The 25327-nt window shown below is 40.7% G+C and overlaps 2 protein-coding genes across 11 annotated transcripts in view, besides 2 other annotated features; both read left to right on the forward strand.

Annotated features, from left to right (window-relative positions):
* The first annotated feature begins 1567 nt into the window (after positions 1–1567).
* ZNF559 (zinc finger protein 559) lies at positions 1568–23667 on the forward strand. 8 transcript variants are annotated; one of them, NM_032497.3, is made up of 7 exons: positions 1975–2024; positions 2491–2576; positions 15592–15654; positions 16290–16378; positions 16989–17115; positions 18898–18980; positions 19491–23667. In NM_032497.3, exons 4-7 carry the CDS (start codon positions 16346–16348, stop codon positions 20862–20864), a joined length of 1617 nt encoding a protein of 538 aa, NP_115886.1. In that variant the 5' UTR covers positions 1975–2024; positions 2491–2576; positions 15592–15654; positions 16290–16345; the 3' UTR covers positions 20865–23667. The 8 variants fall into 8 exon arrangements, with proteins under 8 accessions (NP_001189337.1, NP_001189335.1, NP_115886.1 ...); NM_001202412.2 differs by having other exon boundaries at positions 1975–2200; positions 19413–21641; NM_001202411.2 differs by lacking the exon at positions 15592–15654 and adding an exon at positions 10811–10909 and having other exon boundaries at positions 19413–21641.
* Positions 1819–2068: an enhancer, noted in NCBI's record as "active region_13928". NCBI's record gives its function as "activates an Ori minimal core promoter by ATAC-STARR-seq in GM12878 lymphoblastoid cells {active_cell/tissue: GM12878}" and the evidence as "EXISTENCE:reporter gene assay evidence [ECO:0000049][PMID:35858748]".
* Positions 1975–25327, forward strand: part of ZNF559-ZNF177 (ZNF559-ZNF177 readthrough) — a 58439-nt gene continuing 35086 nt past the window's right edge. The window contains exons 1-6 of one of the 3 annotated variants that reach the window (NM_001384659.1): positions 1975–2024; positions 2491–2576; positions 15592–15813; positions 16290–16378; positions 16989–17115; positions 18898–18980. The gene's annotated coding sequence lies outside the window, so the exon portion shown is untranslated. Of the gene's footprint in view, positions 2201–2490; positions 2577–15591; positions 15814–16289; positions 16379–16988; positions 17116–18897; positions 18981–25327 lie in introns of those variants that run through there. The other 2 variants (NM_001172650.3, NM_001202425.1) reach the window with 2 other exon arrangements.
* Positions 2239–2378: a silencer, noted in NCBI's record as "silent region_10038". NCBI's record gives its function as "represses an Ori minimal core promoter by ATAC-STARR-seq in GM12878 lymphoblastoid cells {active_cell/tissue: GM12878}" and the evidence as "EXISTENCE:reporter gene assay evidence [ECO:0000049][PMID:35858748]".

Consider the following 25327-nt stretch of genomic DNA (forward strand, 5'->3'; position numbering starts at 1 on the left):
ACACTCTGTATCTAGCTACTCTGGTGGGGACTTGGAGAACCTTTGTGTCGACACTCTGTAGCTAGCTAATCTAGTGGGGATGTGGAGAACCTTTGTGTCTAGCTCAGGGATTGTAAAGGCACCAATCAGCGCCCTGTCAAAACAGACCACTTGACTCTACCAGTCAGCAGGATGTGGGTGGGGCCACATAAGAGAATAAAAGCAGGCTGCCCCAGCCAGCAGTGGTAACCCGCTTTGATCCCCTTCCACGCCGTGGAAGCTTTGTTGTTTCACTCTTTGCAATAACTCTTGCTACTGCTCACTCTTTGGGTCCACACTGCTTTTATGAGCTGTAACACTCACCGCGAAGGTCTGCAGCTTCACTCCTGAAGCCAGCGAGACCACGAGCCCACCGGGAGAAATGAACAACTCCAGACGCGCCGCTTTAAGAGCTCTAACACTCACCGCGAAGGTCTGCAGCTTCACTCCTGAGCCAGCAAGACCACGAACCCACCAGAAGGAAGAAACTCCGAGCACATCCGAACATCAGAAGGAACAAACTCCAGACGTGCCACCTTAAGATCTGTAACACTCACCACGAGGGTCCCCGGCTTCATTCTTGGAGTCGGTGAGACCAAGAACCCACCAATTCCGGACACATTAGTACAGGTCTTTGAATAAATTTTGCTTCTAACAGAAGTTACTATTTATTCCTAATTAGATGGGCAGGAAAGTCTTTGAAGAGGAACCTCTACTTTACTTTTTACTGTAGAGAGAGTAGTCTTTGATCTTGGGGAGATGGGGTTTTTCCTTTTGGTTTAGCTTCAGGAAGTTTGTGTTAATTGGCCTTAGGTGCCCTGCCCCCAGCCCCAGGTGTTTTTCCTTTGATTTAACTTTAGGAAATTATCACGAATTGGCCTTAGATTCCCCGACCCCAGATCTTGGTGTTTTCACTTTTAGGAAGTCCGCATGAATCTTATCTATGCTCTTAACTACGTCCTAATTTTTGTGTTTTTTGTCTTTTTTATAGGAATAGGGTTTTGCCATATTGCCCAGGCTGGTCTCGAACTCCTGAGCTCAAGTGGTCTGCCTGCCTCAGCCTCCCAAAGTGCTGGGATCACTGGCGTGAGCCATCAGGCCCAGCCTCTATGTGCTAATTTTTGAACAAATTCCAATAGGAGCATTCTAGTCTCTGAGTGTGAGATGACCAAAAATCAAGCCCTTGTGAGGCTGAATAGAGTCGGGAGGCAGGGAACTTAAGGCTGTTTCAGGCCGACTTCCTAGAACTAAATTGAAAGGAAAACCCTCACTTTCCTCGCCTAAATAACAAAAGGACCAGAGGCTACTCCCTTTGACCTTTTCTGCTGGCAGATAGGAAATTGGCTGTCTGCAACAAATCAGACTGATGGCCGGTTGAGTCTTCATTTGCATAGAAGTGTAACTTTGTAACGTCGTAACTTCACCCTAGCCTTTGATTGGTTGCTTTTTGCAACCAATCAGATGTTTGCACAGGAGTGTGACCTTTGTAACTTCAGACTCTGGTTGGCTGCTTTCTGCAACCAATCAGACTGAACGCGGGCTACCGCTTCATTTACAGGAGGTGAGCATGAAGTGGCCAATGGGAAAATTCTAGGAGGTATTGGGACTCATGAAGGTTCTGTTTCGGAGCCCTTGAGCTGCCGCTTGGCCAGTTCCCACACTGTGGAGTATGCTTTCGTTTTCAACAAATCCCAGCTCTTGTTCTTTTGTTGCTTCATTCTTTCTTTGCTTTGCTGGGCGTTTTGTCTAATTCTTTGTTCAAAACGCCAGTAACCTGGACAGCTTGCAGTCAAGACCCCCTACCGGTGACACTTGCGCTCTTCGGGGAGGTAAACAGCATTTCCTCTCAGCTCTGGGTTGGAAAAAGCCGCAGCAGCTGATGGGCCCGGGAACCCGAGGCCCCGCCCCCTAGGTGGTCCTAGCCTTTGCGCGTGCGCGGCGTGTCTGCGTGGGCGCATGCGCATAACGGCCGCCATCTTAACAGCGCGTTCCCGTTGGCGTCTGAGGTAAGTTTTTGTTTCTGGGCGGCGTTCGGTGGTGTCCCGGTGCAGCCACGCGAGAGTAGAAGGGTGGAAAGGGGAGGTGCCCAGTGAAATGGAGCCTGTCCCGTGCACTTTCGGGCATTTCGAGCATCTTGTGGGCTCTCCCAAGTCGCGGCCCCTCCTCTGAGAGCCACAGTCAGGTCTGTCCTCAGGGGTCGAGGCGGCTGCGCTGGGGCCTCGGCCCGGGAGGAGGCGGGGGGCACGGCCTTTCCATTTTCCCTGCTCCCCTCTGCAGAAGCCTCATAGGGCCCGGCGCGGCGGCTCACGCCTGTCATTCCCAGCGCTTTGGGCGGATTGGGTAGGAGGATTACTTGAGGCCAGGAGTTCAAGACCAGGCAGGGCAACATAGGGAGACCCCCCCCCCCAACCATCTCTAATGGAAAAAAAAAAAAAAGTCTCCACATCCAGCGTTGTGCCTTTTCTCTATAAGGAACAGCATCTCTGCCTTCCTGTTCACGGTGACCTTCGCTTGGTGTCCTCCTGGCCTCAGCAACCTGACAATTCTGTCGTGTCCCGGTGAGCACTTCATGCACTTGTTCTGGCTGTGGGTGTCGGGTCTTGAAGTTTAAGTTGTGTCGAGGTGGAAAGAAACCTTTTCAGGTGGTTGTTCGAGAGCACATGGATCTGATACCATCGAATGCATGAGTGGATGAATGCACATAACTGTAAAATTTACCACCAAGGAAAAACACAGGACTACTCAACTGTGGTTCCAGGCCATCACCTAGATCTCACTCTAGCGCCCTGTAGATTCCCCCAGAGGTTCAAAACGAGGGCATCCCCAGGAACACGGTGCGGGCTGATTTACTAGCAGGAGGGATTGAATTGATAATGAATGCGAAGATAACTTTTGACAGGTGGGTTTTCTACCAGTTACTCATTTGAAAGTCTTACTGAGGGCGGGGCAAGGTGGCTCACACCTGTAATCCCAGCGTTTTGGGAGGCTGAGGCTGGAGGATCGCTTGAGCCCAGGAATTTGATGCCAACCTGGAAAAAATAGGGCAAGCCTCTGTCTCTACTAAAAATAAAAAATTAGCTGGGCATGGTGGTGTCTGTGGTCCCATCCACTTTGGAGGCCGAGATGCGAGGATCACTTGAGCATGGGAGGTCGAGGCTGCTGTGAGCCATTATTGTGTCACTGCATTCCAGCTTAGGCAACAGAGTGAGACCCTGTTTCAAAAAGAAGAAAAAAAAACAAATACTGATCTAGAGAACATCTGTAGCTCGAGTAAAACAAATGTCTTTAGTCCAGGTGTGGTGGCTCACGCCTGTAATCCCAGCATGTTGGGAGGCTGAGGCTGGCGGATCACGAGGTCAGGAGTTTGAGACCAGCCTGGCCAACATAGTGAAACCCCGTCTTTACTCAAAATACAAAAAATTAGCCGGGCGTGGGCACCTGTAATCCCAGCTACTCAGGAGCCTGAGGCAGGAGAATCGCTTGAACCTGGGAGGCAGAGGTTGCAGTGAGCCAAGATTGCACCCTTGCATTCCAGCCTGGGCAACAGTGCGAGACTCCGTCTCCAAAAAAAAAAAAAAAAGTCTTTAACCCTTAACTACATTCACTAGTTGTTAAGATTTGTTTCATTTTTTTGTATATGTACTTTATCATGAGCCATTTAAATTGGAAGTGAATGAACTTTCCCCTTTTAAGCGTGTATCTCAAATACCTCCTGAAAGTGAAGACAAGCTTAAAACAAGACTTCATTGTCCATCCCCACCCCCAAATCAAATCAGATTTCCCCAGCTGTCCAAAAGTCACCATAGTCACCATTATAGTTGCCAGGTTGTTTGCATGTTTTTAGATCTGTTAAATCTGTTTTTTAACTAGACTATTCACCTGATTTTTTTTTTTTTTTTTTTTTTTTTTGAGACGGAGTCTGTCTGTCCCAGGCTGGAGTGCAGTGGTGTGATCTCAGCTCACTGCAACCTCTGCCTCCTGCGTTCAAGCGATTCTCCTGACTCAGCCTCCCAAGTAGCTGGAATTACAGGCGTGTGCCACCACGCCCGGCTAATTGTATTTTTAGTAGAGACAGGGTTTCACCGTGTTGGCCAGGCTGGTCTCGAACTCCTGACCTCGTGATCTGCCGGCCTTGGCCTCCCAAAGTACTGCGTGAACCACCATGCCCCGCCATTCACCTGAATTTTTAAAAATAAAATTTTGGCCTTTGAAGATTTCAGGAGCATTATCTTGTAAAATGCTGCCGTTCTCATGCAATGATGTTTTCCTGTGATTTTATTTGATTTACCTATGTCCTGTATTTCTTGTAAAGTGGATGTTGGGGTTACAGTGGTACTGTCTAATACAAATATAATGCAAGGCACAGATGTAATTTTTAAAAATTTTAGTAGCCAAATTAGAAAATGTTAAATGTATGTGTGATATCATTTTTAATATATTAAAAATGCAGCATATCCAGTTATCAATATAAGTTTTTGAAATTAGTGACTAATGTAGTCAGTTTAAAACTGAGACATTTCACACTTCTTTTGTACTAAGTCTTTGGAATCCTGCACGTATTTTACACTTACAGCTAATTTTCATTGGAAATTCTTGATCTGTATTTAGAGTTTATAAAATTAACTATTGAAAAAGTAGATTAACAAACCCAGGTTGTTCCAAACATACTTAAAAGTTTTTCAATAACAATTTTATTTTTAAAGTTGAATTAAAAGTAAATAAAATTAAGAATTCATTTCCTCAGTTGCACTAGCCACATGGGGCTAGTGGCTGTTGAGTTAGACTGGCCAGATCCAAGGCTTCCATTTTCTAGGTAATGTACTGGGCTTCATATTATATCCTATCAGTAGTCACATACTACAAGTTTGTTAGTGATACTACGCATTTGGTCAAGGTACTCATCTCTGTATAGTCATGTTTTTCTTATAGTAATCTATAAGTGATACTTTGGCTACAGGGGAATATTCTGTTCCCCAACAGCCTTTCACCCAGTGGTTTTTTTGGTTTTGTTTTGTTTTGTTTTTTTTTGTTTTTGTTTTTGTTTTGACGGAGTCTCACTCTGCCGCCCAGGCTGGAGTACAGTGGCGTGATCTTGGCTCACTGCAACCTCCGCCTCCCCGGTTCAAGTGATTCTCCTGTCTCAGCCTTCTGGGTAGCTGGGATTAGAGATGTGGGTCACCACGCCTGGCTAATTTTTGTAATTTTAGTAGAGAAGGGGTTTCACCCATGTTGGTCAGGCTGGTCTCGAACTCTTGACCTCAGGTGATCCTCCCGCCTCGGCCTCCCAAAGTGCTGGAATTACAGGCATGAGCTACCGCGCCTGGCCTCACCCAGTGGCTTTTAACATCACTCAGTCATCTTCTCCTGAACCTGTTTTTACATTGAGAGGTTAACAGTTTTTTTTCCTAGTTCTGTTGTTCTTTCTCCATTCTTTAGCTGACAGTCTTAGGTGAAGAGGAGCTTTCTTTCACCACTTTCACTGCCCTCTATACTTTTTTTCTTTTTTGGAATGTCACAACTTATTCTAATTTTTTTTTCTTTTCATTCACTGTATTATAATCAATTCCTGTCATTCGTATTGATGCTCAAACTGTCCCAATTTTGACCAATGGTAATTTTTAAATTTGGCTCTGTGTCTTGTGACACAACTCTACTAATCTGAGTGCAAAATCAGACCCCAGTTCACTTTGTATTTTCCTCTTACAGACCTGGAATCAATGATTGCTCCAAAAAGTCATGTTCCTTTTAGACACTAAGGTCTGTGTGATAGGCCCACAGTGGACATCTATGGCCTTACAGTGGACATCTAGAATATGTATTTTCTTACATCATACATTTATACTCATATTCCTATTACAAACTTAAGAGGTTTTTTGTTTTTCCTTATGTTTGTATCTCTTATCTCTTATAATAAAGACCTTGACTCCTAATGACACTGATATATTATTTGTTGTAGCAACATTACCAGATGACTAGTATTACTACCATTACTTTATTTAGTATTGAGTTTCTTTATATTTCTTTTTGTCCTTACTAAGGATATAAAGTTCAAACATTTGCTTGAACTCAGTTTTTTTCTCTGTGTGGTTATGTTATGAATTTGACATACTATTAGGCTTGTTTGTCTTTTTTTTTTTTTTTTTTTTTTTTGAGACGGAGTTTTTGCTCTTGTCCAGGCTGTAGTGCAGTGGCGCAATCTCGGCTCACTGCAACCTCCACCTCCCGGGTTCAAGTGATTCTCCTGCTTCAGCCTCCTGAGTAGCTGGGATTACAGGCTCCTGCCACCACACCTCACTAATTTCTGTATTTTAGTAGAGACGAGCTTTCATCATGTTGGCTAGGCTGGTCTCAACTCCTGACCTCAGGTGGTCTCAACTCCTGACCTCAGGTGATCCACCTGCCTCAGCCTCCTAAAGTGCTGGGATTACAGGCATGAGCCACTGCGCCTGGCCTAAATGCATCAGCATTTTGATAGTCTCAGCGCAAAGTAGGGCTGTATAAAGGGGTCATCATCCGTATCTGGGTGCAAACAACACGGTGTCGCATTTCCTTGGAAAACAGTAAATTTGAGTAGATGTGGAATGTTGTGTCAGAAGTCTTTTCTTTGAAACTCAGCACCTGGGTTGTAAATGGATACTTCTTCTTGGTGTCAAAATATTACATAAGCCCTCCAGGTGAAAGTGGGATATTTCAGTCTTTCTGATATTTCTTACTGATAGAATTTCAAACAGCAAATTTCTAATAACTGATTTTAGAGAACAAAGTTTCACAGTGTGTAAAAAAGCAACAACTCAAAAAAGTCATTAGAACTGCTTTGTTCTTTTTGTGGTGACTGTGCAGCTGTGTTTTTTTGTTTTTTGGGCTGGGGGTTTGAAGTTTTAAACTTTTCTTTATTATTCTTGTGCTTACCCAATACAGCTGTTTAAAAATCATAGTTTATTATTCCTGTTTCATAAATGGAATGACCTTGAGCATATGTGGTGCCATAGTTTTTAATTTCTTTTATATTTATATACAATATGATTGATTTTTGTAGTTAGTCTTTGTTTTTCAAGGTCACTATTTTCTTATTACTATTTTGTCTGGGTGATCCAGTCATTGTTGAAAGTGGAGTGTTGAAGTCCCCTACTGTTATCATATTGCTTTTTCTTCTTTCAGATCCATTAATATTTGCTTTATGTATGATGAGCTCCCTAAATATATTGGTGTATATGTACTTAAAACTTCTATATCCTTTTGATAAATTGGTCCATTTATTATATAATGATCTTTGTCTCTTGTCACAATTTTTGTCTTAAAGTCTATTTTGTGTGATGTAAGAATAGGGGCTCCTGCTGTCCTTTGGTTATCATTTGCATGGAATATCTTTTTCTAACCCTTGACATTTAGTCTGTGCCCCTTAAAATTAAAACGAGTCTCTTGTAGCCAGGAGATAGTTGGATCTTGTTTAGTTTGTTTTGAGACAGAGTCTCACTCTGTTGCCCAGGCTAGAATGCAGTGGCGTGATCTTGGCCTACTGCAACCTCCACCTCCCGGGTTCAAGCAATTCTTCTGTCTCAGCCTCCTGAGTAGCTGGAACTACAGGCATGTGCCACCATGCCTGGCTAATTTTTGTATTTTTAGTAGAAACGGGGTTTCACCATATTGGCAAGGCTGGTCTCGAACTCCTAACCTTGGCATCTCCCTGTTTCGGCCTCCCAAAGTGCTGGGATTACAGGTGTGAGCCACCGTGCCCCACCTGTTTGTTTTAACCATATTCAGCCATTCTGTGTCTTTTCATTGGGGAATTTAATCCATTTAAAGTAATTGTTGATAGATGATGACTTGTTATTACCATTTACTTCATTGTTTTCTGGCTGTTTTGTAGTTTTTATTCCTGTCTTCTCTTGCAGTCTTCCTTTGTGATTGATGACTTTTTGAATATTCCATTCTCCTGGTTTGCAAGGTTTCTGCTGAGAAATCAAAGGGTAGTATTATGGAGATTCCTTTGTATGTAGTAAGTCATTTTTCTCTTGCTGCTTTCAAAATTCTCTGTCTTTGACTTTTGACAAGTTCACTATAATGTGTATTAGTTTAGATCTCTTTCAGTTGAACCTTGTTGGGGGCTTTGAGATTCATGAATATGGGTGCCTCTGTCTCCCTAGATGTGGAAAATTTATAGCTATTCTTTATATAGGCTTTCTACTCATTTCTCTCTCTGCTCCCTCTGTAACTTCTTTAATGTTTCTGTTCACTTGGCAGAGTTCCACAGGTTCTTTAGGCTTTCTTCACTCTTTTTCATTGTTTTTTCTTTTTGTTCCTCTGACTGACTATAATCTATTTTTTATTTTGTTGATTCTTCTGTTTGATGATGTCTGCTCTTGGACCCCTCTAGTTAATATTTTAGTTCAATTATTGTACTCTTCAACTCCAGTATTTCTCTTTTGTTCTTTATCATTTCAATCTCTGGGTTGAATTTCTCACTTCATTCATGTATTATTTTCCTGACCTATAGTTATGTATCTCTGCTGTCATTTAACTCACTGATCTTTAAGATGATTGTTATGACTTCCTTCTCAGGTTATTCACAGGTCTCCATTTCTTTTGGGTTGGCTACTGAATATTTGTTTTCTTTGTGTCATAGTTTCTTCTTGATTCTTCATGCTATTTGTAGGTTTGCTTTGCTGTCTGTGCACTGAAGTAGTAGGTATTTCTCTCAGTCTTTATGGCTTAGTCTTGACTGGGAAAGACGTTCATCCATTAGCAGTGCTCCATATGAGACAAGATCAGGACTGACCCCTACAGAAGTATACCATAAGGTTGATGACAAGCACACCTTCTCTTCTCTCTCTCTCCACAGAAAAGCCTCTGTTTGTGATTTTTCTCAGTCATACAGAGCAGATGTAAGAGGATGTCTGCCTCATTTCTTTCTCAGATGATCAGCACCTTAGTATGAGGCAAGATGGCTACTGGCCCCTTGGAGAACCCTCTGAGAGGTCAGGAGGTCAAGTAGCCAATCTCACTTCTTCCCATGAAGAAATAATGTGCCACCATGTCCAGCTAATTCTTTAGTTTTCTGTAGAGATGGGGTCTTGCTATGTTGCTCAGGTGGGATGCAAGTGATTCTCTTGCCTTGGCCTCCCCAAGTGCTGGGATTACAGGTGTGAGCCACTACGCCTAGCTTCCTTTGGAATTATTTTTAACTTCATTTTAATTTTAAGGGGCACAGACTAAATTGTCAAGGGTTAGAAAAAGATACTCCATGCAAATGATAACCAAAGGACAGCAGGAGCCCCTATTCTTACATCACACAAAATAGACTTTAAGACAAAAATTGTGACAAGAGACAAAGGGCATTATATAATAATAAAGAGACCAATTTATCAAAAAGATATAAAGTCAGCACAACTGAGCTGAGCTGGTTTTGCAGAAGGGCTGATGAGGGTAAGTTGAAAATTGTTCTTACTGGTATAAATGCAACTGTTCTCAGTTTGTGCTCCTCTAGGGTTGCTTGCAATTATTAGCTTGATTATGGATTTCTCTTCAAGGTATTTTGGTTCCAGTATTGTTACTATGTGTTTCCATGAGTGAACAGAGAGGTAGGGCTTCCTACTCTGCCATTTTACTGACATTTTTTATGATATATTACTTATTGAATCTTAAAATACAAATAAAGTAGTTCTGAATTGCTAATTCAGACCCCTGTGGAAAACAGATTTATTAACTGAGTTATTTTTGTGTCATTCTTTTATATTTAGGCTTAGATTATATGTTCAAAATACTGTTTTCCAAAATCACTTAGATGAGTTATTTTTATCTTTCAATATGGTTTTGTTATTCATTTGTAATACAGTTAAAAAGCAGTCGTTTTTGTTACCTTAAAGTATAATGTTAGCTTTGGCGTTTTTGTAGATGCCCTTTATTAGGCTGAAAATTTTTCTTGGGCTTATTGAACTTCATTAAAAACAATCATGGTTAATGAATTTTGTCAAATTCCTTTTCTGCATCTCATGAGATCATCTGATTTTCTGGCCTGCTAATATGTTGCATTAAATTAATTTACATTTGAATATCAATCTGGCATTTCTGGGATATGTTCTAACTTGATGTATTATCTTTTCATATATAGAGGTATACATATGTATGTGTGTGTGTATATATATATATATCACTGTATTCATTTTGCTAAAATTTTATTGAGGGTTTGTGTTAACTCTCTGCTCTGCAACCAGCCTGTGATAGCTGAGGGCCCAGAGTACCTTAAATGGATTTATCTTCACCCCTTTGCCCTGCCACTTGCCTTGGGGGGATGGTTGCCTCGGTCATCAGGGAGGCTACATGCACCTCAGTGATCCTGCCTTATCCCAGCCTTTGATATACTATGGTCTAATATTAGGTGAAGGCTTGGTGAAAGTCTGTGGATGGATTCATCACTGTGAATTCTGTAACTGAGATGTCTCAGAATTCTAATGTGGTCAATCAGTCCACACTCTGCTGTCAAATTTTGGTAAGATTTAATTATGATTTCTTTATACCTTCATGTGTGGCAGATTCTTTCTCTCATCACTCATCCAAGATTGAGAAAAATCATGGGTATCTTCTTTCTTAGCAAAGCTTATTATTTAGGTGTATCTGCATTCTTGGCTCTCTGAGGTATTTTTAAAAGGTATGATTTTGTAGTTATGTGGCTTGTGTTTTAAGAGAGAAGGATCAACCCTTGGAAGTTCTACATTCTAATATGAATGTATGAGAAAATGTATCTTGGTTTTTGTTTTGTTGGATTTTTGAGACAAGGTCTTACTCTGTTGCCCAGGCAGGAGTACAGTGGTGAGATCACGGTTCACTGCAGCATTGACCTCCCTAGGCTCAGGTGTTGCTCCCACCTCAGTCTTCTGAATAGCTTGGAGTATAGGTGAGTGCTACCATACCTGGTGAAGATTTGTATTTTTTGGTAGAGACAGGGTTTCACCGTGTGTTGCCTAGGCTGGGCTCAAGCAATCTACCTACCTCAGCATGCCAAAGTGCTAGGATTACAGGCATGAGCCGCCATGCCCAGCCAGAAAATTTTAAAAATAGATATTTGTAGAGTTATGCATCCAGGAGGATTTTTAGAAATGGGACTTCTAAGTCAAAGGGTAAATACATATATAATTTAACTATATCCTGCCAAATTCCCTAGTGTTTTTTCTTTTAATGAAGTTAAAAATAATTCCAAAGGAAGCTAGGCGTAGTGGCTCACACCTGTAATCCCAGCACTTGGGGAGGCCAAGGCAGGAGAATCACTTGCGTCCCACCTGAGCAACATAGCAAGACCCCATCTCTACAGAAAACTAAAGAATTAGCTGGACATGGTGGCACATGCTTCTTCTCCTAGCTACTTGGGATGCTGAGGCAGGAGGATTGCTTGAGCCCAGGAGGTCAGGGCTGCAGTGAGCCAAGATTGTGCCTACTGCACCTCATCCTGGGCAACAGAACAGGGCCCTGTCCCCCACCCCCACCCAGAAACAAGCCTGAGAATAAGAGGAGATAATTCCTACGTATGTAACTGACAAAAAAAAAAAGGCTAATATCCAAAATACATTAAGAACTCTTACACGTTAATTCCAAAAATTCAAACAATCCAATAGAAAAATTAAGAGGCTTGAGCAGGCTCTTCGCAAAACTGACTGTACTATGGATAATAAACATGAAAAATTGAAGTTTTTATCCTCATCAATAATCAGGCAAATGGAAATTAAATCTGCCACTACACATATATCAGAATGGCTAAATCCAAAAAGAGTTACGAGATGTTGAAGAGAATTTAGAGAAACTAGAGTTTGTGTATACTTTTAGTGTGTAAAGTAGAAATATGTTTTGAAAAACAGTTTGGCATTGTGTTCCAAATTTGAATGTAAGGATATACCCTTAAATGCGACCATATAACATCATTATTTGAAATAGCCCAGAATTAAGCAACTCAAATGTCTGTCTACAAGAATACATGAATAAACCATGCTATACTGGTTAAGTGTCAGAAATACTTGGGACCAGAAGTCATTTGGATTTCAGATTTCTTCAGATTTTGGAATATTTGCATTATACTTCAGAAATTTAAAATGTTTCAGTGAGCATTTCCTTTGAGTGTCATATCTGTGCTCAAAAAGGTTTTTTGGAGCATTTTGGATTTCAGATTTTCAGATTAGAGATATTCAACCTGTATTATGGAGTGCTTTTCGGTAAAAGGAAAAGAACTATATGTGTAACAGTATGGATGACTCATAAACATAATGTTGAATCAAAAAAGCTAGACATAAATGAATAGATGATTTCATTTATAAAGTTTAAAAACAGACAAAATTAACCTATACCGTTAGAAGTGAGAATAGTTTCCATTTGCGAAGAGGGGCAATGATTTAGATGTGTCATGTGTGCATCAAGGTGTAGAAATTAATGATGCATTATACCTTTGTAATTCTACTCTTTTGTGAATATATATTTCAATTAAATGTTTAAAAAATTCAGATGTCATTTCCAGGTGTTTGAAAGAGATTAGCAAAATGAGTATAAAGAAAACATAACACTAAAAGCAACATTTAATGGGAAAAAAAGTAAAACTGATGAGTAAACCCAAGAGATAGGTTTTTTAGAAGTATAAAATTGGCTGGTCATGGCCAGGCGGGGTGGCTCATGCCTGTAATCCTAGCACTTTGGGAGGCTGAGGCCGGCGGATCACGAGGTCAGGAGGTCGAAACCATCCTGGCTAGCATGGTGAAACCCCTTCTCTACTAAAAATACAAAACAAATTAGCCAGGCATGGTGGTGGGCGCCTGTAGTCCCAGCTACTCGGGAGGCTGAGGCAAGAGAATGGCGTGAACGCGGGAGGCGGAGCTTGCAGTGAGCCGAGATCATGCCACTGCACTCCAGCCTGGGTGACAGAGCGAGACTCTGTCTCAAAAAAAAAAAAAAAAAATTAGCTGGTCATGGTGGCTCACACCGGTAATCCAGCACGTTGGGAGGTCAAGGCGGGAGGATCGCTTGAGCCCAGGAGTTCAAGATCAGCCTTTCCAACATTGCGAGGAACCCCTTCTCCATTCCAGCCCCACCACCAATCTCTGCCAAAAAAATTTTTAATTGGCCGGGTGTGGTGGTGGCTTTTGCCTGAAGTCCTAGCTACTCAGAAAGCTGGGGTAGGAAGATTGCTTGAGCCCAGGAGTTCAAGGCTGCTGTGAGCTTGATCCTACTATTGCACTCCAGCCTTGGGAAGAGTGCAGCCCTGTCTCCCCCATACCCCCAGAAAAATATAAAATAGACAAACTTTTGCACAATGTGTGATTCAGCATTTCATCCACCCCATACATTTTCTTTTTTCTTCTTTTTTTGTTGAGACAAGGTCTGGCTCTATCGCCCAGACTGGCATGCAGTGGCGTGATCTCAGCTCACTGCAACCTTTGCCTCCCAGGCTCAAGCCACCTTCCCACGTAGCTGGCACTACAGACACGTACCACCACACCTGGCTAATTTTTGTGGTTTTTGTAGAGACGGGGTTTTACCATGTTGCCCAGGCTGGTCTCAAACTTGTGAGCTCAAGTGATCTGCCTGCTTTGGCCTCCCAGAGTGCTGGGATTACAGGCATGAGTCACACCCCAAATATTTTCTACCCTCTGCTAGGACCTATGAATATTAAAAGAAAAACTTCAGATAAACGTAATAGTTAAGCATTAAAGGATTCGTGAATCAGGCAGCACTCCAAAACCAGAAGGGTTCAGGGGGCTCTGCTGTAGCAGCATGCACAGTTGGCTTTTGTAGACTGAATGTGAAAGCAAAGTAAAGAAATTACTTAATTGGCTTAGCCTTAGCAGTATTCTGAGTTTCTTTAGTGAACCATTATTATTACTCTATTGCTTTGGATAAAAAGTTGAGTGTCAACTTTTTTAGGGAAGCCAGATGTCAGTTTTCAAGTGTCTTATGGTTATTTTCTTATATTTTCTTGCCAGAACCAGTTCTGAGTCTGTAAATATACATTTATATGTGTGTGTGTGGTAGGGGAGGTGGAGGATGATATTACTTATCCATTCATCTATTTTTTTCCATAGTACTTGTCACCAATTGACATAATACATATTTATGGCTGGACACAGTGGCTCATGCTTATAATCCTAGCACTTTGGGAGGCTGAGGCAGGCGGATCACCTGAGGTTGGGAGTTCGAGACCAGCCTGACCAACATAGGGAAACCCTGTCTCTACCAAAAATACAAAATTAGCTGGGGTTGGTGGTGCATGCCTGTAATCCCAGCTACTCGGGAGGCTGAGGCAGGAGAATGGAGTGAACCTGGGAGGCAGACCTTGCTTGCAGTGAGCCAAGATCGCGCCACTGCACTCCAGCCTGGGCGACAGAGCGAGACTCCATCTCAAAAAAAAAACAAAAAAAAACTTATGTGTTTATTATCTGCTTAGCCCTTTAGAATGTGAGATACTTAAGGTCTAGGACATTTTTTGTATAGTTGACTGCTCTATCCTAAGTGTCTAGTACATTACCTCACAAAGATAAGGTCCTTCATAAATGTTTGCAGAGTGAATGAAAGCGTAAGCCAGAGATGAGGACTTGAAGGGAAGCCACCTGGCCTACATGATTTTTACAGCTGGAGGAGCTAAAGATGTCTAAATTCAATAAGCCATTTGTGTTGGGGGTCCTCAAGACCACCACCCTCACGCTCAGTGATGGAAGCACTCACAGGACTCAGAAGCTATTAAACCTACAGTTATGGTTTATTATAATAAAAGGGTACAGATTAGAATCTGCAAAGGGAAAAGATGAATGAAGTCTAGAAGAAACCAGGCTTCTCTCCCATGTAGTCACATGGACAGTGCTTAATTCTCCTAGTAAAAGTGTGTAGTATTCCTGCAAACTGTTGCCAACTAGGGAAGCTCACCTGAGCTTTGGTGTCCAGGATTTTTACTGAGGGTTAGTCCCGTAGGCATACAGCACCTGAATGACTTCATACACTTATGCCCAGCCCCTCAACAGTTCAAACTCATGCATTATTGCCAGAAGCCTCAGGCATACAAAAACAGGCCTTCAGCATAAATCATATTGTTAGCATACACAATCTGGTCACACTAGTATAGTTTGGCTCAATAGCTCAACCATAGAAAAATATACACTTACCAGGGAAGATATTCCATAAGCTAAAAGGTCATCTCTCACAAACTGAGCCAAGTGTCAGTCCTGAAGACAGATCTTTCTCAAGAGAGTGCAGGGTTTGGGCAACCCAGGCCTGTTGAGTTAACCTTTCCGTACATCATTTCATGACGATCTCATGGTCACGTTGGAGAATAAGAAGAACCTCAGGAGTTTAGGTTTGTGAGTCAGAGTAACCTGTATTCATATCCTGGCTCACACTTTCTAATTGGTGATGTTGGGTTAATTAGTGTCTGAGCTTAGGTTTCCTCAACTAATATGATAGTAACAAAAACTGCTTTGATAATTATATGAACTTATCCTACCACTGTTTCTGGCACATGGGTACTAGGTAAACGGGATTTGTTATTATTTATGTCCACGTGGCATAATACTCTAGTGGCACTCACATGAACAACTTCATCTTCTGCAGAGAGATGGCTAATGAATGGCGCTTGATGACAGATGAGTAATGCCTGTTGCTGAAAGATTGACGGTATGAGGCAAGACTCCCACTACTACTTAATCAAGAGGAATTGAGATTGACTTACCCATAAGTTCAGACAGTGTCTCGAAGAGACTTTGGGAACAAGATATTCAGGCACATTTCACTGTTAGACTCACAGGATGCTGGCCATTGGTCTTTCCCTTTGTGGTAAGTCCGTATTGATGGTCCTTCAAGACGCTGCTTTAACCAGTCTGTGAACAGCTTGTCTTGTGATTAGGGTTTAGGGTCTAAGTGGCCCTGCTTTTGAGATACCTAGAAGAGGCTAAAGTAGATACGAATATTCTGTGGTCTAAATCCTGGGATTTGGGAAGGAGGAGTAAGTATGCAGGCTTTTGTGGAAGAAGTTCTGCTTAATCACATGATCAGTTTCTTTTTTGGCAAATAAGGAAAATGTTAACTTCTCTGGACTTTGTATTCCTTATAAAATGGGATTGTTAAACTCTCTCTCTCCTGGTCATCAAAGCCTGAAGCATATTTTCTGGCTTCAGGTGAGACAGGCTGCTCAGGCATTTTATTATAACGTGTGTGTGTCCACTTAGCATTAGTATGAGGTGGCTTCTTGCCTTGTGAGTATGGAAGCTATCAGCAGCCTGGATTCTCAGATTTTATTTCTTCTTCTTAAGATCATCTTTCTCAAGATGTTTTCTGTCTTCATGAGTCAAAATTTGAAGAGGAAAGGATGGTGGCTGGGTGGTTGACAAATTACTCTCAGGTAAGTAGGAAATTGCTTTTTCTGTAGAAGCATATGCTTCTTCCTACCATGTAGATGTGTTTTCTCCTAGTGGAACAGGGCCCCTGCAAGCAAAGAGGGTCTGCTTAGGGACCACATCTCTCATCAAACTTCTTCGGACCACAGGGCCTCTCACATGGTTGACAGGTTTCACAGGGAAATGATTGTACTATCCCACTGTTTACTAATTCAGTCTGACTGTCATCCATGCTGATATGCTTTCATTTTGCTGTGATAGGGAGAGAATGCACATGTGCTTCTCGGAATTTGTGCTGTCACTGGAGCATTTATTTGAGTGTCTATAATGTATTCAGGGTTGTGCTAAAACCTGTCAGTAGAGAACAATAAGAAGAAGTCACAATCTAGTTGTGCTGAGATATATTCAGTTAGGTGAAAGAGGTGCTCTTCAAGCCATATGACTAGATGAGATCACCGGTGAATATGTACAGACAGGGGAGAAGAAAGTGAGGACCATCAAGTGATAGGAGACCAAAGAGTCTTGTCAAGGCATGCCAAGACAAGGTCCCTCATTCTCCAGTCAACATAGTGGAGAACGTACTTGCCTGACGCCAGCATGTGTGTGATGGTTTAGGACTCAGTGACCTTTGAGGATGTGGCTGTGGACTTCACCCAGGAGGAGTGGACTTTGCTGGATCAAACTCAGAGAAACTTATACAGAGATGTGATGCTGGAGAACTATAAGAATCTAGTTGCAGTAGGTAAGGCTGGTACCATTCTTTTCATTTAGTTTTTTTCTGGAACAAATGTGTCTTAAGTAACTATGTTCTAGACTCTGCTTGTTAATGGGCTGCATTGGTAAACAGGCGAAACATTGTTTCCATCTCATAGACCTTACTGCCTTGTGATTTTTCTGATGAAATTGAAGATCTGTTCATTGTTCTAGCTTTATTTTCTCCATGGATAAAAGACTTAGAGCTTCTTGAATATGTGTATGAGCTTAAGCCTGGGTTTCATGGGAAGGATTGCTAGTCCTTTTGGTGAACAGTGAATGAGAAAAGAGTATTTGAAGTTTAGGTTCACTTGAAAGTTTTTGTCATGAACATTGTGTTGTAATTTAAGTTATATCTGAGAGGGTTCAGAATGCCCAGACAGCAAAATCTTAGCTCTTAACATGGAAGCATTTGTTATCCCTTGCACATTCTTTACTTTTTTTTTTTTTTTTTTTGAGACAGAGTCTTGCTCTGTCACCCAGGCTGGAGTGCAGTGGCGTGATCTTGGCTCACTGCAAGCTCCGCCTCCCGGGTTCACACCAGTCTCCTGCCTCAGCCTCCCGAGTAGCTGGGACTACAGGCGCCCACCACCACGCCTGGCTATTTTTTTTTTTTTTTTTTTTTTTTTGTATTTTTAGTAGGAACAGGGTTTCACTGTGTTAGCCAGGATGGTCTCGATCTCTTGACCTTGTGATCCGCCCACCTCGGCCTCCCAAAGTGCTCGGATTACGGCATGAGCCACTGTGCCCAGCCATCCCTTGCACATTCTAACATCATTCATCTTTCCCTGAGACCAGGGTACTAGCTATGCAAACATAGTTTGACTTTTCAGGTGAAACAAGAAGAGTTAAAGACAGCGCAGAAAATTCTCCAAGATGAGAGAAAAGACAGATGTGATTATTTGTGAGAAACAGCCCTGATCTATGAGAGGTGCAGTCTGTTTATAAATATTAAGTAGGAAGGTTTTGAAAGTGTACTTTTTTGGGGAGAATATCAAGGCCAATTGGTTTCCAAGGTTCCTTGGGTACCTTAACTTCTCTTTCACTTTATCCATCTTGGAAACTTTCTTTTGCTCTGACATTAAGATCTGTCTCACTTCTCCTTTAAATTTATGATTTGCATTTAGCTCTGTATCCATTTCCTTTCAACTTTGTTTCCCTGGCTGTACCTCTTTTTTGTTCACTATAAAGTCTCAATGTTTAGAGAACCATTTCTTTTTTTTCTCTCTCTGTCTCTAAAAAAAAAAAAAAAAAAAAAAAAGAGTCTTGCTCTATCGCCAGGCTGAAATGCAGTGGCGCGATCTCAGCTCACTGCAACCTCTGCCTTCCGGGTTCAAGTGATTCCCCTGCCTCAGCCTCCTGAGTAGCTGGGACTACAGGTGCATGCCACCTTGCCTGGCTAATTTTTTTTTTTTTTTTGTATTTTAGTAAAGATGGGGTTTCACCATATTGGCCAGGACTCAATCTCCTGACCTTGTGATCCACCTGTCTTGGCCTCCCAAAGTGCTGGGATTACAGGTGTGAGCCACCACACCCAGCCTAGAGAACCGTTTCTTAGTGAATCACCTACCAACTTGACCTCAGTACCTTACTGTTGCTAGACTCTTACTACATCCAAATTTCTCAATTTATGTTTCCCGTTCTTTAAAAAAACAAACTATATTTCAAGCCAGTGTTTGAAACTACAGTACATACTAGTCTTGCATTTTTAACACCCTTTTTAAAATCATTATTTCTCTAAGAACTTAAAATTTTTTTCATCTTATTTCAGATTGGGAGAGTCATATTAATACCAAATGGTCAGCACCTCAGCAGAATTTTTTGCAGGGGAAAACATCCAGTGTGGTGGAAATGGTAAGATTCAGAAGGTATAATTTATTGTCTTCCATGTTAGAGGAAGATTGGAAATTCCTTAAAATGGAAAAGCAGCACAATAACCTTGAGACATTTGAGACTAGTGTTTTTCACCCAAAAATAATCTGTCTCTTGGAGAGACTATGGATCATGAGTTTGACAAACACTCTAAACATCCCTCAGAATATATTTGTTTACATATTTCCTTCAACATTCCCATATGTATCTCAGATGTTTTTGATAAATAATTCACTCTTGGGCCGTTATCAGCTAAGCTCTATTTAGAAGCCCTCTGAAAGTAAAGAATATAACAGAACTTCCTGCAGTCACTTTGTTCCACTTGAAAACACTCAGGTCTGAACCATGCCTTGCAATGAAAATGGCAGGAACAAACAGTTTCAATTATACTAACTTATTTTCCATGTGTAACAGAATTCAGAGTAAAAGGGAGAATCTCAATGAAATAAATTTGGAAAACTTCTATGAACCATCATTAATTTTCACCAACAGGAGAGAAACCATTTTGGAGAGGAACTGTTTGACTTTAACCAATGTGAAAAAGCCTTGAGTGAACACTCATGCCTTAAGACTCACAGGAGAACTTACTTTAGAAAGAAAACCTGTGAGTGTAATCAATGTGAAAAAGCCTTCAGAAAACCCTCTATCTTTACTTTACACAAGAAAACTGATATCGGAGAGGAACTTCCTAACTGTAATCAATGTGAAACAGCCTTCAGCCAACATCTACATCTTGTTTGCAAGAAAACTAGCCAAAATCTACATCTTGTTTGCAAGAAAACTCACACTCAAGAGAAACCATATAAATGCAGTGACTGTGAAAAAGGCTTACCTTCCTCCTCACACCTCAGAGAATGTGTAAGAATTTATGGTGGAGAGAGACCATATACTCATAAGGAGTATGTCGAAACCTTTTCTCATTCTACAGCCCTTTTTGTACACATGCAAACTCAAGATGGAGAAAAATTCTATGAATGTAAAGCATGTGGGAAACCCTTCACTGAGTCGTCATATCTTACTCAACATTTAAGAACTCATAGTAGAGTGTTACCTATAGAACATAAGAAATTTGGCAAAGCCTTTGCTTTTTCCCCAGATCTTGCTAAACATATAAGACTTAGAACTAGAGGAAAACACTATGTTTGTAATGAATGTGGCAAAGAATTTACTTGTTTCTCAAAACTCAACATTCACATAAGGGTTCACACTGGAGAAAAACCGTATGAGTGCAACAAATGTGGGAAAGCCTTCACTGATTCATCAGGTCTTATAAAACACAGGCGAACTCACACTGGAGAAAAGCCTTATGAATGTAAGGAATGTGGGAAAGCTTTTGCTAACTCTTCACATCTTACTGTACATATGAGAACTCACACTGGTGAGAAGCCTTATCAATGTAAGGAATGTGGAAAAGCCTTTATTAATTCCTCTTCCTTTAAAAGTCACATGCAGACTCATCCTGGTGTAAAACCCTATGACTGTCAACAGTGTGGGAAAGCCTTCATTCGATCCTCATTTCTTATTCGACATTTGAGAAGTCACAGTGCAGAAAGGCCTTTTGAATGTGAGGAATGTGGGAAAGCCTTTAGATACTCCTCGCACCTTAGTCAACATAAAAGAATACATACAGGGGAGAGGCCATATAAATGTCAAAAGTGTGGGCAAGCCTTCAGTATCTCATCAGGCCTTACAGTACACATGAGAACTCACACTGGTGAACGGCCCTTTGAATGTCAGGAATGTGGGAAAGCCTTTACTCGGTCCACATATCTTATTCGACATCTAAGAAGTCATAGTGTGGAGAAACCATATAAGGAATGTGGGCAAACCTTTAGTAATTCCTCATGCCTTACTGAATGTGTGTGAATTGGGGCTGATACTTGGAAAGAATGTGGTAAAGCCACTACTTCCTCACACTTACTGAACATGTACTCATTCATAGTGGCAATGTACACAGTCATAAGGAATGTGGGAAGCCTTCCTTGGTGTCTCAGATCTTAACAATTCCAATAGAAGAGAAGACATATGAATGTAAGGAATGTGGGAAAATCTTGGCTCCTTCCATAGGCCTTACTATTCATGTGTCTGTGCATCCTAGGAAACAAACTGAACGTAGGAAACCTGTCGATGCTTACATCTTACTGAGTCTGTTTGAACTCATGCTGGAGAGAAATGCTATGAATGTGAGGAAGGTGGAAAAGCTTTCATTATTTTCCTCGGGCCTTACTGAGCTTGTGAGCACATTGGATATAAATGCACGTCCTCTGGCTGTAAGGAATGTGTTGAAACCTTTCACTCTGCCTTATACCTTAATATTCAGCTGTGATCTCACAAGTGTGAAAAATCTTATGAATGTAAAATGTGTGGAGATTCTTCTTTGTTTTTAGCTTCCACTTTGGGAACATGTCAAAGCACACATTGAGAAGTCCCATGAGTGAAAGAGATGTTGGAAAGCCCTTGAACTTGGTCGTTAGGAAACATCCACACTGAAGAGGAACCTGACTGTATGGAAGGTCAAAAAGGCTGTATTAATTTACATGCAAAAAGTCACACTAGAGGAATGCCATATCAGAATGCTTTTGGTAAATATACATGTTTTAAAGAGGTTATATATCATTAATAAAAATATCTAGCTGGTCTGAAGATCCTGAGTTATCTCAATTGTTCACGGTTACAGATGGAACTCTTTATTATTGAGGAGTTCCACTCTTTCCCCCATTTGTCACTACTACACTTCCCTAGTCTTTAAAACAATTTTAGGCTGGGTGCAGTGGCTCATTCCTGTAATCCCAGCACTTTGAAAGGCCGAAGCGAGTGGATCATTTGAGGTCAGGAGTTCGAGACCAGCCTGGCCAACGTGGTGAAACCCCATCTCTACTAAAAATACAAAAATTAGCCAGGCATGGTGGTACGTGCCTGTAATCCCAGCTACTCGAGAGGTTGAGGCAGAATTGCTTGAACCCGGGAGGCGGAAGCTGCAGTGAGCTCAGATCACGCCACTGCACTCCAGCCTGGATGATATGGTAAGACCATCTCAAAAAAAGAAAAAAAAATTAAAATATCCTCAGAGGGTTTTTTAATGAAAAACTTAGTTATAGGGAATTGAGGAACATTTAGGGGTACAAATTTTCACTTATTGCACACAAGAAAATTGGTACTGGCCAGGCATGCTGGCTCACACCTTAATTCCAGCAATTTGGGAGGCCAAGGCAGAAGGATCACTTGAGCCCAGGAGTTCAAGACCAGCCTGGGCAATATAGTGAAACCTCATCTTGACAAAGAATAAATAAGATTAACTGGGTGTACTGGTTTGTGCCTATAGTCCCAGCTATTTAGGAGGCTGGGGCAAGAGGATTGCTTGAGCCTGGTCAGGGAGGCAGAGGTTGCAGTGAGCCCTGATCGTGCCACTACACTCTAGCCTGGGCAACAGGATGAGACCCTGTCTCAAAAAAAAAAGAAAATTGACGCCAGCAAAGAAAACCAAATAAATTATTTAAGTTTGCCTTTCTATATGTCTTTAAAGACTAATGATATTGAACATCACTTTCATATGCTTATGAGTCTTTGGTGAAGTGTACATTTAATGATCTTTTTTCACTGTTGCTGAGAATCTTTGGTTTGAATTATTGAGGCAGGTTCTTTCAGTAAGTTTGAGATATAATTGCCATGTAATAAACTGCACATGTTTTTAGCATACACTTTAAGTTTGGACACATACACATATGTGTACATACACACCATCAAGATAATGAACATACCTATCAAACCAGATGGTTTCCTCATGCCCTTTTATAATTTCTTCTTCTCCTCACCCTTCCCTGCCTGTCACTCTCCTGATCCACTGATTTGCTTTCTCTTAGAATAGACGACTTTATATTATGTACAGTTTTTATATAAATGGAATCATATAGTCTGGCATCTTTCAGGATAATTTTTTCAGATCCATTTATGTTGTAGGGTCCATTTCACTGCTGAATAGTATTCCATTGCAAGGCATACCACAAGCTATTTATCCATGTGTTATTTCTACCTTTTGGCTATTGCAATTAAAACTGCCTTGAATACCCATATGCAGATTATTCTTTAAACATGTGCTTCTGTTTCTTTAAATAGTTAAGAGTGGAATGATCAGATCATATGTTAGTGTACGTTTAAGTTTTTAAGAGACTGCTAAACCTTTCTCAAGTAGTTATGCCATTTGACATTTCCATGAGCAGTATATAAGAGTTGCAATTCTTCTGCATCCTTGCCAATTATTGGTATGGTCAGTCTTTTTTATTTTGACCATTTTAATAGGTGTGTAGTAGTATCTCATGGTTTTAATTTGCATTTCCCTAGTGACTAATGATGTCTTACATGGTTTCACGTGCTTACTGGCCTTCTTTAAGCCTTTGGGGAAGAGTCTGTTCAAATCTTTTGCCTGTTTATATTGGCTTTATTTTTTATTTATTTTTATTTTTTTTTATATAGAGACAGGGTTTTACTCTGTCTCCCAGGCTGAAGTGCGTGGCACGATCATGTGGTTTTGCAATATTTATTGAATTTTGAGAGTTTAAAATTTGTAATATATTTAATATTAAACCTATTAGTGTATTTGATATTAATACTTTATATTTAATATAATGTACATTTAAATATATAATAAAACATTTCATTTTAACAGAGGTAACATAAATACACTTCCCAATTTATGGAGTTTGACTTAGTATTGTTTTTAATTTACAATGGTGCAAACATATTATGCATTCAATATGTTTCTCAATTTATGATGGGGTTACAAATTGTCAACTTATGATAGTTTCAACTTACAATAGGTTTGTCAGGACATAGCCCTGTCATAAGTTGAGGAGTATCTGTATTACAATATATTTAATATGTTGTACTTGTGGTACAAGTACATGGTGCACTTTGAGTTAAAATCTTTATATGGCACAAAGATTGGATCAAAATTTGGGGTTTTTTTTTTCTTTGTATCTCATTGTTCTAGCATCATTTATTGAAAAGACTATCCTTTCTCCACTTAATTGCCTTTGCTTCTTTCTTGAAATATTGGTTGTCTTTATACGTGTGTCTGCTTCTCAACTGTTCTGTTCCATATAGCTACTTATCTTTTATTCCAAGACTACCCTCTCTTGACAACTTCATAACTTTTGAAGTCCGATAGAGTTTAGTCTTCCAGCTTTTTCTTTTCAGAGTTGTCTTTACTATTTTAGGTCAGAGGTTGGCAAAGTTTTTTATAAAAGACCAGATTGTAGAGATTTTAAGCTTTACATGCTATATATAGTTTCTGTTGCATATTATTTTTTCTATTACAGACCTTTTAAAATATAAAAATAGTTCTCACATTCCATTCAACCTATACAGTTATAGGCTGTGAGCCACATTTGGTCTTGATGTGGCTGTACCTTGTTGACTTACAGCTGTTACAGGACTTTCGTATTTCCATATAAAGTTTAGAATCAGGTTGTCAATTTCTACCAGCACCACCCCACACCCCCAAAGTAATTCACTAAGATTTTGATTATCATTGTGTTGAATCTGCAGAATAATTGATGTCTTCACAATATTGAGCATTTCAACCCATGAACATAATATATCTCTCCACTTATTTAGGATTTATAATTTTTTTCTCAGTAGTATTTGTGTTTTTCGGTGTTTGGGTCTTCCTAGGCATTTTTTCTCTGACACTATTGCAAATGGTATTTTAAAAATTTCAATTTCTCTGCTAGTTCACTACTACTATAGAGGAACACAGTTTTTTTACATATATTCATCTTGTATGCTGCACCCTTGTTAATTTGTTCTGGAAGATTTATATTAACATTATACTTAGAATATATTAACATTATAATAAGCTACATAATTTTATTTTTTTATTTTTTAAATTAAAATAGAGATTGGGGTCTCACTATGTTGACCAGTCTTGAACTCCTGGCTTCAAGCGATCCTCCCATCTTGGCCTCCCAAAGTGTTGGGATTACAGGCGTGAGCCACTGAACCTGGCCACAATTTTATTCTTAAATGAAAATAGATCTTTGATATCATCGCCAGATTCATATTTGTTTTTTGTTTTCTTGAGATGGAGTTTTGCTCTTGCTGCCCAGGCTGGAGTGCAGTGGTGCCATCTTGGCTCACTGCAACTTCCACCTCCCAGGTTTAAGTGATTCTCCTGCCTCAGCCTCCCGAGTAGCTGGGATTACAGGCACCCGCCTCCACCCCCAGCTAATTTTTGTATTTTTAGTAGAGACGAGGTTTCGCCATGTTGGCCAGGCTGGTCTTGAATTCCTGACCTCAGGTGATCCACCCACCTCGGCCTCCCAGAGTGTTGG

Source organism: Homo sapiens, chromosome 19 (genome assembly GCF_000001405.40).
Source record: "Homo sapiens chromosome 19, GRCh38.p14 Primary Assembly".
Lineage (NCBI taxonomy): Eukaryota > Metazoa > Chordata > Mammalia > Primates > Hominidae > Homo > Homo sapiens.

Bases quoted from the DNA above. Each gene is read 5' to 3' on its own strand.
- ZNF559 (NM_001202406.1), top strand. From the start codon at position 1,975: ATGCGCATAACGGCCGCCATCTTAACAGCGCGTTCCCGTTGGCGTCTG. The intron at 16,379-16,988 runs GTAAGTAGGAAA...GTGATGGTTTAG, and splicing joins GGTTGACAAATTACTCTCAG to GACTCAGTGACCTTTGAGGA. The intron at 18,981-19,490 runs GTAAGATTCAGA...TTTCACCAACAG, and splicing joins CATCCAGTGTGGTGGAAATG to GAGAGAAACCATTTTGGAGA.